Below are 15,739 nucleotides of genomic sequence, written 5' to 3' on the forward strand. Positions count from 1 at the left end.
ATCTCCAGCACATGAAAACTCCAAATGCCTGAACCGCAGCTGCCAGGGATTCCTCCAGAACCTCCTCCCCCAGGAGCTTGCTACAAGTGCCAGAAATCTGGCCACTGAGCCAAGGAATGCCCACAGTCCAGGATTCCTCCTAAGCTGTGTCCCATCTGTGTGGAACCCCACTGAAAATTGGACTGTTCAACTCACCTGGCAGCCACTTCCAGAGCCCCTGGAACTCTGGCCCAAGGCTCTCTGACTCCTTCCCAGATCTTCTCAGCTTAGTGGCTGAAGACTGACACTGCCCGATCGCCTTGGAAGCCTACAGGACCATCACAGACGCTCTAGGTAAGTCTCACAGTGGAGGGTAAGTCCGTCCCCTTACTCAATTCGGAGGCTACCCACTCCACATCACCTTCTTTTCAAGGGCCTGTTTCCCTTGCCTCCATAACTGTTGTGAGTATTGACAGCCAGGCTTCTAAACCTCTTAAAACTCTCCAACTCTGGTGCCGACTTATACAACATTCTTTTATGCACTCTTTTTTAGTTATCCCCACCTGCCCAGTTCCCTTATTAGGCTGAGACATTTTAACTAAATTATCTGCTTCCCTGACTGTTCCTGGACTACAGCCACACCTCATTGCTGCCCTTTTCCCCAGTTCAAAGCCTCCTTTGCATCCTCCTCTCATATCCCCCCACCTTAACCCACAAGTATAAGATACCTCTACTCCCTCCTTGGTGACCGATCATGCACCCCTTACCATCCCATTAAAACCTAATCACCCTTACCCCGCTCAATGCCAATATCCCATCCCACAGCACGCTTTAAAAGGATTAAAGTCTGTTATCACTCGCCTGCTACAGCATGGCCTTTTAAAGCCTATAAACTTCCCTTACAATTCCCCCATTTTACCTGTTCTAAAACCAGACAAAACTTACAGGTTAGTTTGGGATCTGCGCCTTGTCAACCAAATTATTTTGCCTATCCACCCCACGGTGCCAAACCCATATATTCTCCTATCCTCAATACCTCCCTCCACAACCCAATATTCTGTTCTGGATCTCAAACATGCCTTCTTTACTATTCCTTTGCACCCTTCATCCCAGCCTCTCTTCGCTTTCACTTGGCCTGACTGACACCCATCAGGCTCAGCAAATTACCCGGGCTGTACTGCCTCAAGGCTTCACAGACAGCCCCCATTCCTTCAGTTGAACCCAAATTTCTTCTTCATCTGTTACCTATCTCAGCATAATTCTCATAAAAACACACATGCTCTCCCTGCTGATCGTTTCCAACTGATCTCTCAAACCCCAGCACCTTCTACAAAACAACAACCCCTTTCCTTCCTAGTCATGGTTAGATACTTTTGACTTTAGGTACCTGATTTTGCCATCCTAACAAAACCATTATATAAACTCACAAAAGGAAACCTAGCTGACCCCATAGATCCTAAATCCTTTCCCCACTCCTCTTTCCATTCCTTGAAGACAGCTTTAGAGACTGCCCCCACCCTAGCTCTCCCTGACTCATCCCAACCCTTTTCATTACCCACAGCCGAAGTGCAGGGCTGTGCAGTTGGAATTCTTACACGAGAACCCACACTGCGCCCTGTAGCCTTTTTATCCAAACAACTTGACCTTACTGTTTTGCCTAGCCCTCAAGTCTGCGTGCGGCGGCCGCCACCACCCTAATACTTTTAGAGGCCCTTAAAATCACAAACTATGCTCAACTCACTCTCTACAGTTCTCATAACTTCCAAAATCTATTTTCTTCCTCACACCTGACACATATACTTTTTACTCCCTGGCTCCTTCAGCTGTACTCTTTGTTGAGTCTCCCACAATTACCATTGTTCCTGGCCCGGACTTCAATCTGGCCTCCCACCTTATTCCTGATACCACACCTGACCTCCATGACTGTGTCTCTCTGATCCACCTGACATTCACCCTATTTCCCCATATTTCCTTCTTTCCTGTTCCTCACCCTGATCACACTTGGTTTATTGATGGCAGTTCCACCAGGCCTAATCACCACACACCAGTAAAGGCAGGCTATGCTATAGAACAAGCCACTATCCCACCTCTTAGAACCTCTCCTTTCCTTTCCATCATGGAAATCTATCCTCAAGGAAATAACTTCTCGGTGTTCCATCTGCTATTCTACTACTCAGGGATTATTCAGGCCCCCTCCCTTCCCTACACATCAAGCTCAGGGATTTGCCCCCACCCAGGACTGGCAAATTGGCTTTATTCAACATGCCCCGAGTCAGGAAACTAAAATACCTCTTGGTCTAGGTAGACACTTTCACTGGATAGGTAAAGGCCTTTCCCACAGGGTCTAAGAAGGCCACCACGGTCATTTCTTCCCTTCTCTTAGACAAAATTCCTCGGTTTGGCCTTCCCACCTCTAGTCCTATAATGGACTGGCCTTTATTAGTCAAATCACCCAAGCAGTTTCTCAGGCTCTTAGTATTCAGTGAACTAATGGTCTTTTAAAAACACACCTTACCAAGCTCAGCCACCAACTTAAAAAGGACTGGACAATACTTTTACCACTTGCCCTTCTCAGAATTCAGGCCTGTCCTCACAATGCTACAAGGTACAGCCCAGTTAAGCTCCTGTATAGACACTCCTTTTTATTAGGCCCCAGTCTTATTCCAGACACCAGACCAACTTAGACTGTGCCCCCAAAAACTTGTCATTCCTACTATCTTCTGTCTAGTGATACTCCTATTCACTGTTCTCAACTACTCATAAATGCCCTGCTCTTGTTTACACTGCCAGTTTACACTGTTTCTCCAAGCCATCACAGCTGGTATCTCCTGGTGCTATCCCCAAACCGCCTCTCTTAACTCTTAAAGTAAATAAATAATCTTTGCTGGCAAGGCTGTGCTGAACCTCCTTAGGCACTCTAATTAGATGTCCTAGGTCCTCCCAATTCTTAGTCCTTTGATACCTGTTTTTCTCCTTCTCTTATTCCATTTAGTTTTTCAATTCATACAAAACCATATCCAGGCCATCACCAGTAATTCTACACGACAAATGTTTCTTCTAGCAACCCCACGATATCACCCCTTACCACAAAATCTTCCTTCAGCTTAATCTCTCCCACTCTAGGTTCCCACGCCGCCCCTAATCCCGCTCGAAGCAGCCCTGAGAAACATCACCCATTATCTCTCCATACCACCCCCCAAAATTTTCGCCGCCCCAACACTTTACCCCATTTCATTTTATTTTTCTTATTAATATAAGAAGACAGGAAAATCAGGCCTCTGAGCCCAAGCTAAGCCATCATATCCCCTGTGACCTGCACGTATAAATCCAGATGGCCTGAGGTAACTGAAGAATGACAAAAGAAGTGAAAATGGCCTGTTCCTGCCTTAACTAATAACATTACCTTCTGAAATTCCTTTTCCTGGCTCATCCTGGCTCAAAAGCTCCCCCACTGAGCACCTTGTGACCCCCACCCCTGCCCACCAGAGAACAACCCCCCTTGGACTGTAATTTTCCTTTACCTACCCAAATCTTATAAAACCCCGCTCTCCCTTCACTGACTCTCTCTTCACTGACCACCCCTCTCTCCCTTCACTGACTCTCTTTTCGGACTCAGCCCGCCTGCACCCAGGTGATTAAAAGCGTTATTGCTCACACAAAACCTGGTGGTCTCTTCACACGGACTCAAGTGAAACTGACCTCAAGTGATCCGCCCACCTCAGCCTCCCAAATTGCTGGAATTACAGGTGTGCGCCCCTGCGGCCAATTTTATACGTTTTAGAGGGATGGAAGTTACAGGCATACGTCAATCAATACGTGTAAAGTGTACATTTGTTCACTCAGGAATCATGGAACAATTTGGGGTGTGGGGCAGGGGGACTTCCAGATCATAGGTAAATTCCAAGATTTTCTGATTGGAAATTGGTCGAAAGAGTAAAGTTATGATCTAAAGACCTGGAATCAACAGAAAGGCGTGTCTGGTTTAAAAATAAGAGGTTGTGGCCTTTTACCTTGTTGCACTTCTGAGAGCAAGATGGGTCACCAGCAGCTGTACTAGAGCCACCAGTGAATATTCGGCCAGGGTTTTCATTCTTGTCACATCGGCCCAAATCGGCATGGTCTGATCTGTAAATATGCCCTCAATATGTACTGCCAGTGTTTCCGTCAGTACAGGAAAGATATCGGTTTCATTAAGTTGCACTAACTGACCTTCCTTGAAAGGTTTATCCAACGCATGTACCCAGTGAAAAACCATGATAGTGGCCGGGCACGGTGGCTCACGCCTGAAATCCCAGCACTTTGGGAGGCCAAGGTGGGCAGATCACAAGGTCAGCAGATCGAGACCATCCTGGCCAACATGGTGAAACCTCGTCTCTACTAAAAATACAAAAATTAGCTGGGCGTGGTGGCATATGCCTGTAATCCCAGCTACTCAGGAGGCTGAGGCACGAGAATCACTTGAACCCGGGAGGTGGAGTTTGCAGTGAGCTGAGATAGCGCCACTGCACTCCAGCCTGGCAACAGAGCAAGACTCCGTCAAAAACAAACAAACAAACAAAAAAAACCCCAAAAAACCATGATAGCTCTTTGCACATAAAATAAACATTTTTTAAAAAGATAAGGGGTTGTGGAGACCACCTGTTTTTTTTTGACAGAGTCTCGCTCTGTTGCCCAGGCTGGAGTACAGTGGCGCAATCTTGGTTCACCGCAACCTCCACCTCCCGGGTTCAAGTGATTCTCCTGCTTCAGCCTCCCGAGTAGCTGGGACTACAGGTGCACACCACCACACCTGGCTAATTTTTTGTATTTTTAGTAGAGACAGGGTTTTTCCATGTTAGCCAGGATGGTCTGGATCTCCTGACCTTGTGATCTGCCCACCTCGGCCTCCCAAAGTGCTGGGATTACAGGCATGAGCCAAGACCAAGGTTCTTGTTATGCAGATGAAGCCTCCAGGTAGCAGGCTTCAGAGAGAATAGATGGTAAGTGTTTCTCATCAGACTTAAAAAGGTGCCAGACTCTTAGTTATATCTCTCCTGAATCAGGAGAAGACCTGGAAAGGGAAGGGGACTCTCTACACAGTGTAGATTTTCCCTACAAGAGACAGATTTGCAGGGCTGTTTCAAAATATGTCAAAGAAAAATTTATTTTGGGGTAAAATACTTCTGTTTCTTTCAGGACCTGCTATCTGTCATGTGATGCTGTACTTCAGTCAGGTTGGAATTTGGTATCTTATTGCTACAAAGAGTCTGTTTTGTCAGCCTTAAGATCTCTGTGTTGATGTTAATGCTGGTCAGTTGTGCCTGAATTCCAAAGAGATGAGGGCAGAATGAGGCATGTCCAACACTCCTTCCCATCATGGCCTGAACTAGTTTTGCAGGTTTACTTTGGAATGCCCTTGGCGAGAAGGAGTCCGCTCAGTAGGTTGGGGGGCTTAGAATTTTCTTTTTGGTTTACAGGTGCAAAGCTTGTGATTTAGCCAGGAGATTTCCTGCCCCTCCCAAGGGGGCAGATTTTGCTTCAACCCTCCCTCACCATGTAATGAGGGGCTGGTCCTATCCCTCCCCCAGAAATACATGGCCTTACTTGTACCCTTACTTCCACCAGGAGTGAACCTTTGCCTGTCCTCAGGGGATGGGAAGGATTCCTGCCCCTTCCCCTGAGGCTTAAGTCCTTCTGCTTCTTGTGAGACAAGGTTCTGGGAGGTAGGAGGGGGTTCATGCCTGAGAACCACTGAGGGAGCCTCTTTCTTGTCTCATTGTACCTCCAATCTTTCTCATGAGCACCAAGAGGTGGAAAAGAGATTGCGAGTGAACTTGGGGTCTGCTAGATCCTGATGCACCCAGGGGGATTCTAAGTTGTCATGCTGGCCCACTCCTGGCCTCTGAGAATTCATTAAAATGTTGTTTTCCTATCACCTGCTTTTTTGGTGGCCACTTCTTCCTCCTGTGCTCTGACAAAGGTGGAACTTTTCATGTGTCCTGTCTCTCCTGAGAGGGTGCGGTCACTCTTTGGACCTCAGTTCACCTGGTTGCCTTGAAGCCTAAATTTCTGATGGGCTCAAGAAATGCCAAAACCTATAGATTACCCAGCTTTTTCTTCTTTTTATGGTAGGAGTGATAGTCTCTTGTGGATTTATTTTATGTATTAATTTTATTGCACTTTTTGTAGAGATGGGGGCCTTGCTAGGCTGCCCAGGCTGGTCTTGAGCTCCTGGCCTCAAACGATCCTCCTGCCTTGGCTTCTCAAAATGCTGGGATTACAGGTGTCAGTCACCATGCCCAGCCTCTTGTGGCTTTTTTACTCTAAGTGAAAGCATAAATCCAATAATTTTTATTTTTATTGTTATTGTTTGGAGATGAGTCTCACTCTGCCACGCAGGCTGGAGTGCAGTGGTACAATCCCGGCTCACTGCAACCTCTGCCTTCCAGGTTCAAGTGATTCTTCTGCCTCAGCCTCCTGACCAGCTGGGATTACAGGCACATGCCACCACGCCTGGCTAATTTTGTATTTTTAGTAGAGATGGAGTTTCACCATGTTAGCCAGGCTAGTCTCAAACTCCCGACCTCAGGATCTGCCCACCTCGGCCTCCCAAAGTGCTGGGATTACAGGCGTGAGCCATTGTGCCCAGCAAAAATCCAATAATTTTTAATAACTCAAAATATGATTTTGACTACGTAAATTTTTTTTTTTCCCTTTGTCCCTCTTTGTAATTTGATGCTTTGGTATCTCAGTTCTAGTTTTTGATTTGGCTCCAGGTAGTACAAGTTCTCATGGATTACATGTATGGTTTAGAATCCTGAAGTCAATGAGATGAGAGCAGACCTAACATCAAACACTTGAAGTAAAGAAATTTATGTGGAAGGAATATATAAAATGAGTTTACATTGGGTAGTTTGGATAAAGCATAACATTAGAGAAGGGTACATGTAGCTAGATGTGTCTTTACCTTTAAAAAAACTTGAATATTGAGGCTGGGTGCAGTGGCTCATGCCTGCAATCTTAGCACTTTTGGAGGCCAAGACGGGCGGATCACTTGAGGTCAGGAGTTTGAGACCAGCCTGGCCAACATGGTGAAACTATTTTTAGTCTCTACTAAAAATACAAAAATTGGCCAGGCATGGTGGTGCATGCCTGTAATCCCAGCTACTCAGGAGGATGAGGCAGGACAATCACTTAAACCTGGGAGGTGGAGGTTGCAGTTAGCTGAGATGGCACCACTGCACTCCAGCCTGGGCAAAAGAATGAGACTCAGTCTCAAAAAACAAACAAAAGAACCCAACAAACTTGAATAGCGAAAGGAGGATATTTTGATATGTTATTTCCATTTTCAGTAATAAATACATGTGTGTATCCAATAACTTATTAAAATGTAGATTTGTTTATTGAAAAACTTATTAGCATGAGGTCAGGAGATCAAGACCATCCTGGTTGACACAGTGAAACCCCATCTCTGCTAAGAAAGTACGAAGGAAAATTAGCTGGGTGTGGTGGCAGTGGTAGGCGCCTGTAGTCCGAGCTACTCAGGAGCCTGAGGCAGGAGAATGGTGTGAACCCGGGAGGCGGAGGTTGCAGTGAGCCGAGATCGTGCCACTGCACTCCAGCCTGGGTGACAGAGAGAGACTCCATCTCAAAAAAAAAAAAAAAAAAACAAACAAACTTATTAGGAGGTTTTAGTGGCAGATTAGACAGAGCTGAAGAGAGAATCTGTAAACTGAGAGAACAGAAGAAACTCACCACATGCTTCATGAGCAGCTATGAGACAGAAAATACGGAAGAGTAGTTAAAAACACATGAAGAATAGAAAGGGAAGGGTTAACCTCTATTTAATTGCAGTTCCTGGAGAAAAGAGTTAACGGGGGAAGAGAAAATATGTGAAGAGAGAATGGCTGGCAAGTTTCCCAAACTGAGAAGAGACCTTATCAGCTTTGAGAAGCCAAGGAATCCCAAGCATGATAAATACAAAGAAATCCATGCCCAGAAACATCCTGGTGAAGCTTCAGAATATTAACGAAACAGAAAGTCTTAAAGCAGCAAGAGAAAAAAAATTAAAGGCCTGACAGATTAAGCTCAGTCTTCTGTATAGCAACCTTGAAGCCGGAAGACAATGGAATCTTATTCATGTGCTGAAAAAAAAAAAAACTGTCAACTTAGAATTCTATACCTAGTAAAAATACTTTCAAGAGGCCGGGTGCGGTGATTCACACCTGTAATCCCAGCACTTTGGGAGGCCGAGGCAGGCAGATCATGAGGTCAGGAGTTTGAGACCAGCCTGGCCAACGTGGTGAAACCCCGTCTCTACTAAAATACAAAAAAATTAGCCGGGGTTGGTGGTGCATGCCTGTAGTCCCAGCTACTTGGGAGGCTGAGGCAGGAGAATCACTTGAATCTGGGAGGTAGAGGCTCACCATCTACCCGGCTAATTTTTTTGTATTTTTAGTAGAGACGGGGTTTCACCACGTTGGCCAGGCTGGTCTCGAACTCCTGACCTCATGATCCGCATCCCCCCTCCCCCCGCGGCCTTCGAAAGTGCTGGGATTACAGGCGTGAGCCACCGCACCCAGCTCAATGGCTGAACTTTTAGCTTCATTTTAGCAGAGTTCAGACACCCCCATAATCCTAATCTTGTGAGTTGTCATTAGTTTTACAAAGGCAGTTTGGTCCCAGAACAAACAGGTGGTAGTTTTGGGAAGGGCTATTATCATCCTTGCTTTAAGTTTAAACCATAAATTAAATTCCTCCCCAAGTTAACCTAGCCTATGCCCAGGAATGAACAAGGACAGTTTAGAGGCTAGAAGCAAGAAGAAGTCAGCTAGATTACATTATTTTACTGCCATCATTTTCCTGTGTCGGGTCTTACTCACTGTCATAATTTCTTTTTTCTTTTTTTTTAAAGACAGAGTCCTACTCTGTCACCCAGGCTGGAGTACAGTGGGGTGATCTCGGCTCACTGCAACCTCTACCTCCCAGATTCGAGTGATTCTCCTGTCTCAGCCTCCTGAGTAGCTGGGATTACAGGCACCTGCCACCATGTCCGGCTAAGTTTTAGTAGAGACGGGTTTTGCCATGTTGGCCAGGCTGGTCTCGAACTCCTGACCTCAAGCACTCCACCTACCTTGGCCTCCCAAAGTGCTGGGATTACAGGTGTGAGCCACTGCACCCGGCCTCTGTCATAATTTTTGCAAAGGCGGTTTCAGTGGGGTCTCCAAACCACTCTCCTTGGCCAGGTTACCAGTTTCCCACCTGGGCACAGTGGGTTAGGGTCCTGGGGGTTGGTCCTCCCAACTCCAGTGTCTTCTGGTACCATCCTCCCTCCTTGCAGCAAATATAGTGTCTGTGGTCCAACTCTGGAGTTACTGTGGCCAGAGGCTCTTAGTTACCAGATTAACTGTCCCTTCCCCACTCCTTTCCCCACCAACCATCTGCTTCTGTACCAGCTACCTGGCTAGGAGGATTTCTACCTCCCCCTACCTAGGGGTCTGGCCCTGTGGTAAGACTGCACCCACCCGTGAAGCCACGCCCCATCCAGGAAACCACACCCACTCAAGAAGCCCTGCCCACCCAAGAAGCCCCACCTGCCAGCAAGCCACAGCCATCCAAGAAACCCCACCCATCCAGGGAGCCCTGCCCAGCCCATCAGATGGTCCCACTCACCCATGAAAGCCACTGCCGAGGTATTCACAGCCCTGCTGCTATTCGGCCTGCCCATCAGGAGCCAGTCCACAGAACTCCATTAACCTTGCTGTCAAAACAGGGTTTCCTGGCTGGGGGGCTTACTCCTGTAATCCCAGCACTTTGGGAGGCTGAGGCGGGTGGATCATTTGAGGTCAGGAGAATAAGACTAACCTGGCCAACATGGGGAAACCTCGGGAGTTCTAGACCAGCCTGACCAACATGGTGAAACCCCACCTCTACTAAAAATACAAAATTAGCTTGGCATGGTGGCATGGGCCTCTGATCCCAGCTACTCAGGAGGCTGAGGCAGGAGAATGGCTTGAACCTGGGAGACTGAGGTTGCAGTGAGCCAAGATGAAGCCACTGCACTCCAGCCTGGGTGACAGAGTGAGACTCTGTCTCACAAAAACAAAAACAAAACAAACAGGGTTTCTTTTTATAGACAATCTCCAAAGGCAATTTCATGATGATTAGATTCAAACAGGATGGCACCTAGGAATTGTCCAATCTTCAACATTATCTAGAAAGTTTCTCCCAAATGATGCTTTAGTTTAGAATACTGTACCCCTCTCTCTCTCTGCATTTTCACAATCTGAGGTTTTTCTTGTTTGATCGTTTATTTTATTTTATTTTACTATTCTATTTTTTGCACCAGAACGCCCATGGAAACACATGCAGTCCCGTGACCTCACGCTGGATTTTTCAGTTTCTAGAAATTAAATCAGCAAATTTGGAGTCCAAAGAAATGGGTTGCTAGGTGTGGTGGCACACCCCTGTAATCCCAGCACTTTGGGAGGCTGAGGCAGGTGGATCACTTGAGGTCAGCAGTTTGAGACCAGCCTGGCCAACATGGCAAAACCCTGTCTCTACTGAAAACATAAAAATTAGCTGGGCATGGTGGTGCACGCGTGTATTCCCAGCTACTCGGGAGGCTGAGGCAGGGAAATTGCTTGAACCTAGGAGGTGGATGTTGCAGTGAGCCAAGGTCACGCCACTGCATGCCGGCTTGGGAGACATAGCGAAACTCCATCTCAGAAAAAAGAAAAAAAAAGAAATAGGTTGTTTAAAACTTGACAATAATAGAATTTTACATGAGAACTATGGGGGTGTCTAGCATGTTTCCCTTGAGTGTAGGCTGTCAGCATTGGTGAAGTGATCGCTTTGGGTTGCTGATTGAGAAGCTACTTGTTCTCTCAGAATGGAAGAATATTCAGGAGACCGGGTCTGTGGTCTGTTAGAAACCAGGTTTCAGAGCAGGAGGTGAACGATGGGTGAGCGAGTGAAGCTTCATCTATATTTACAGTGGCTCCTCAACACTATTATTACTGCCTGAGCTCCGCCTCCTGTCAGATCAGCTGTGGCATTAGATTCTCATAGGAGTGCCAACTCTATTGTGAACTGTGCATGAGTGACCTAGGTTGTGTGCTCCTTATGAAAAATCTAATGCCTGATGATCTGTCACTGTCTCTCATCACTCCCCTGTTGTGACCATCTAATTACAGGAAGGCAAACTCAGGGCTCCCACTGATTCTACATTATGGTAAGTTGCATAATTATTTCATTATATATTACGACATAATAATAGAAATAGGCTGGGTGTGGTGGCTCACGACTGTAATCCCAGCACTTTGGGAGGTGGAGGTGGGCAGATCACCTGAGGTCAGGAGTTTGAGACTGCCCTGGCCAACATGGTGAAACACTGTCTCTACAAAAAATACAAAAATTAGCTGGGGGTGGTGGTGGGCACCTACAATTCCAGCTACTTGGGAGGTTGAGGCAGGAGAATCTCTTGAACCCGGGAGATGGAGGTTGCAGTGAGCCGAGATCGTGCCACTGCACTCTAGCCTGGGTGACAGAGTGACACTCCATCTCAAATAACAATAATAATAATAATAGAAATAAAGTGCACAATGAATGTAATGTGCTTGAACCATCCCAAACCCGTCCCCCTCGACCCTCCTGGTCCATGGAACAATTGTCTTCCATGAAACCAGTCCTTGGTGCCAAAAAGTTTGGGGACTGCTGGTCTGGACAACCTGGGCTTCACAATTTTTAATTTGTTTGTAGGCTGTTACTGTAACAGGCCGAGAGGTGCTTGTAAACTTCAGAGGTTGTTTACCAGAGAGCCAAAGAAGGTGTTTAGAAATGTGTGTGACATGCTATAACCCAGCTCCGGCCATAGACCCTGTTCCGATGAAGACAATGTTCTATCTCTAATGATCCAATATGGCAGACAGCAGCCATATGTGGCATTGTACTCTTAAAATATGGATAATGCAACTGAAGAACTAATTTTCTTTTTCTCTTTCTTCTTTCTTTCTTTCTTTCTTTTTTTCTGTTCTTTCTCTCTTTCTTTCTCTCTCTCTTTCTCTCTTTCTCTCTTTTTTTCTTTCTTTCAAGACAGGGTCTCACTCTGTCACCCAGGCTAAAGTGCAGTGGCACGATCCGGGCTTACTGCAACCTCCACCTCCCGGGTTCAAGTGATTCTCCTGCCTCAGCCTCCCGAGCAGCTGGGATTACAGGCGCCTGCCACCACACCAGGCTAATTTTTGTATTTTTAGCAGAGACAGGGTTTCACCACAGTGGCCAGGCTGGTCTCGAACTCCTGACCTCCGCCCGCCTCGGCCTCCCAAAGTGCTGGGATTACAGGCGTGAGCCACCACGCCTGGCCAGCCAACTTCTATTAATATTTTAGAAAAAGGGGATGCAAGTGCAGGTTTGTTACAAAGGTATATGATGTGATGCTGAGTTTTGGGGTATGAATGAATATGTCACCAAGGTAGTGAGCATAGTATCCAGTAGATCATTTTTTCAGCCCTTGCCCTGCTCCTTCTCTTCTACCTCTAATAGTCCCTGTGTCTATTGTTTTTATTTTTATGTCCATGTGCACCCAATATTTAGCTCCCACTTATAAGTGAGAATAAGCGTTATTTGGTTTTTTGTTTCTGCGTTAGTTAGCTCAGACTAGTGGTTTCCAGCTGTATCCCCGTTGCTGCAATGGACATGATTTTGTTCTTTTTTATGGCTGTGTAGTAATCCATGGTGTATGTATACTGTATTTTTCACCATAGATGGGCATCTAGGTTGATTCCATGTCTTTTCTATTGTGAATACTGTTGTGCCATGGGTGCAGGTGTCCTTTTGGTAGAACAATTTATTTTTTGGGGGGATAGTTACCCAGTAGTGGGGTTGCTGGGTTGGTTGGTACTTCGACTCATAGTTCTTTGAGAAATATCCGAACTGCTCTTCGTAATGGCTGAACAATTTACATTCTGACCAACAGTGAATGAGTGTTCCCTTTTCTCCACAGCCTTGCTGCCATCTGTTTTTTTTTTTTTAAATATATGAGGAAAGTCTTGCTCTGCCACCCAGGCTGGAGTGGAGTGGCATGATCATGGCTCACTGCAGTCTCAGACTCCTGGGCTCAAGCAATCCTCCTGCCTCAGCTTCCTTAGTAGCTGTGACTATAGGCACACACTACACCAACACACACAGATAATTTAAAATTTTTTTTTTTTTGGTAGAGATGAGGTCTCACTATGTTGCCCAGGCCGGTCTCCAACTTCTGACCTCAAGGGATCCTCTAGCCTCTGCCTCCCAAAGTGCTGAGATTTCAGGCATGAGCCACTATACCTGGTCTTTTTTTTTGACTTTTTTTTTTTTTTTTTTTTTTGAGGTGGAGTCGCACTCTGTCGCCCAGGCTGGAGTGCAGTGGGGCCATCTCAGCTCACTGCAACCTCTGCTTCCCGGGTTCAAGTGATTCTCCTGACTCAGCCTTCCGGGTAGCCAGGATTACAGGTGTGTGCCACCATGCCCGACTAATTTTTTTGTGTTTTTAGTAGAGACGGGGGCCAGGCTGGTCTCAAACTCCTGACCTCGAGTGATCTGCCAGCGTCAGCCTCCCAAAGTGCTGGGATTATGGGTGTCAGCCACCATGCCCGACCTTTCTTGACTTTTTAACAAAAGCCCTGATAAATGTAGTTATACCCTGACTTTGCCTCACTATAGGCCCCTGTGCCCACAAACTTCCTATGGTCACTTTCCTAATATCTAAGTGTAAAATTGAGATTAATATCCTCACCACCCTGCAGAATTCCCACACTGACTTCCTAACCTATAGAATAAGAAATGTTAGGATGAGACCAGTGGATGGCTCTTGTCAAAATAGTAAACCAAAAGCAATTCTGCACTGCTGCATTTAATCACAGTGATTTTTTTTTTTTAAAACAGTGTCTCACTATGTTGCCCAGGCTGGTCTTGAACTCCTGGGCTCAAGTGATCCTCCCGTCTCCCAAAGTGTTAGGATTACAAGTGTGAGCCACTGTGCCCAGCTGAAAGATTCGTCTTGACATAACAAAGAATCGCCCTCCAAAACCTATTAATGATTGGCCGGGTATGGTGGCTCACACCTGTAATCCCAGCACTTTTGGAGGCCGAGGTGGGCAGATCACCAGGTCAGGAGATCGAGACCATCCTGGACAACATGGTGAAACCCCATCTCTACTAAAAATACCAAAATTAGCTGGGTGTGGTGGCATGTACCTGTAATCCCAGCTACTTGGGAGGCTGAGGAAGGAGAATCACTTGAATCTGGGAGGCAGAGGTTGCAGTGAGGTGAGATTGTGCCACTGCACTGCAGGCTGGTGACAGAGCGAGACTCCGTTTCAAAATAAACAAATAAACATATAAAAAAAACCTATTAATGACCTTAGCTTTATAGATGTACTTAGTGCCATGGTCTGAATGTTTGTGGCTCCCCGAAATCCATATATGTTGCCATCTTAACCCCCAAGGTGATGATATCAGGAGGTGGGGCCTTTAGGAGGTGTTTTAGTCTGTTCTCACATTGTTATAAAGAAATAACTGACACTTCGGGAGTCCGAGGTGGGTGAATCACTTGAGGCCAGAAGTTCGAGACCAGCCTGGCAAACATGGTGAAACCCCTCTCTACTAAAAAATGCAAAAATTAGCTGGCAGTGGTGACACACACCTGTAATCCCAGCTACTCGGGAGGCTGAGGCAGGAGAATCACTTGAACCCGGGAGGTGGAGGTTGCAGTGAGCCAAGATCGCACCACTGCACTCCAGCCTGGATGACAGAGCAAGACTCTGTCTCAAAAAAAAAAAAAAAAAAAAAGAAGGAACTGAGACTGGGTCATATATATGTTTAATTGGCTTAGGGTTCTGCAGGCCATGCAGGAAGCATGGCTGGGGAGGCCTCAGGGAGCTTTTACTCATGGCAGAAGGCAAAGCCTGAGCAGGTGTCTTCACACAGCCAGAGCAGGAGGAAGAGAGAGAGTGGGGAGGTGCCACACACTTTTAAACAACCAGAGCTCATGAAAACTCTACCACAAGAATAGCACCAAGGGGATGGTGTTAAACCATTTATGAAGGATTCACCTCCATGATCCAATCACCTCTCACCAGGCCCCACCTCCAGCACTGGGGATTACATTTTAACATGAGATTTGGGTGGGGACACAGACCCAAACCATATCAGGAGGTGATTAGGCCATGGTGGTGGAGCCCTCATGAATGGGATTAGTGCCCTTATGAAAGAGACCCAGAGGCCAGATAAGGTCATACCCATAATCCCAGCACTTCGGGAGGCTGAGGTAGGTGGATCACTTGAGGTCAGGAGTTCGAGACCAGCCTGGCCAACATGGTGAAATACATCTCTACTAAAAGTACAAAAACTAGCAGGGCATGGTGGCACATGACTGTAGTCCCAGCTACTTGGGAGGCTGAGGCAGGAGAATCATTGATCCTGGGAGGAAGAGGTCGCAGTGAGCCCCAAGCCTGCCTGGGTGACACAGTGAGACTCTGTCTCAGGAAAAAAAAAAAAAAAAAAAAAAAAAGGAGACCTAGAAAGACCCTTGCCCTTCTACCATGTGAAGACACAGAAAGAAGGAACTGTCTATAAGCCAGAAAGCAGGATCTCACTAGACACAAAATCTGCCTTGATCTTGGACTTCCCAGCCTCTAGAACTATGAGAATAAATGTCTGTTGTTTATAAACTACCCAGTTTACAGTATTTTGTTGCAGCAGCCTGAACAGACTAAGATACTTTGCTGATTTTTTTTTTCTT

General features: G+C 46.4%; 1 pseudogene, besides 3 other annotated features; it reads left to right on the plus strand.

Annotated features, from left to right (window-relative positions):
• Window positions 3,124–4,081: an enhancer, noted in NCBI's record as "NANOG-H3K27ac-H3K4me1 hESC enhancer chr7:100525101-100526058 (GRCh37/hg19 assembly coordinates)". NCBI's record gives its function as "activates a minimal SCP1, AML or CMV promoter by ChIP-STARR-seq in naive H9 embryonic stem cells {active_cell/tissue: H9 hESC(naive)}" and the evidence as "EXISTENCE:reporter gene assay evidence [ECO:0000049][PMID:30033119]".
• Window positions 3,982–4,238, plus strand: RPS29P15 (ribosomal protein S29 pseudogene 15; annotated as a pseudogene).
• Window positions 4,082–5,038: an enhancer, noted in NCBI's record as "OCT4-NANOG-H3K27ac-H3K4me1 hESC enhancer chr7:100526059-100527015 (GRCh37/hg19 assembly coordinates)". NCBI's record gives its function as "activates a minimal SCP1, AML or CMV promoter by ChIP-STARR-seq in naive and primed H9 embryonic stem cells {active_cell/tissue: H9 hESC(naive and primed)}" and the evidence as "EXISTENCE:reporter gene assay evidence [ECO:0000049][PMID:30033119]".
• Window positions 9,054–9,555: an enhancer, noted in NCBI's record as "H3K4me1 hESC enhancer chr7:100531037-100531538 (GRCh37/hg19 assembly coordinates)". NCBI's record gives its function as "activates a minimal SCP1, AML or CMV promoter by ChIP-STARR-seq in primed H9 embryonic stem cells {active_cell/tissue: H9 hESC(primed)}" and the evidence as "EXISTENCE:reporter gene assay evidence [ECO:0000049][PMID:30033119]".

The sequence above is a fragment of the Homo sapiens genome, chromosome 7, assembly GCF_000001405.40.
Source record: "Homo sapiens chromosome 7, GRCh38.p14 Primary Assembly".
Classification (NCBI taxonomy): domain Eukaryota; kingdom Metazoa; phylum Chordata; class Mammalia; order Primates; family Hominidae; genus Homo; species Homo sapiens.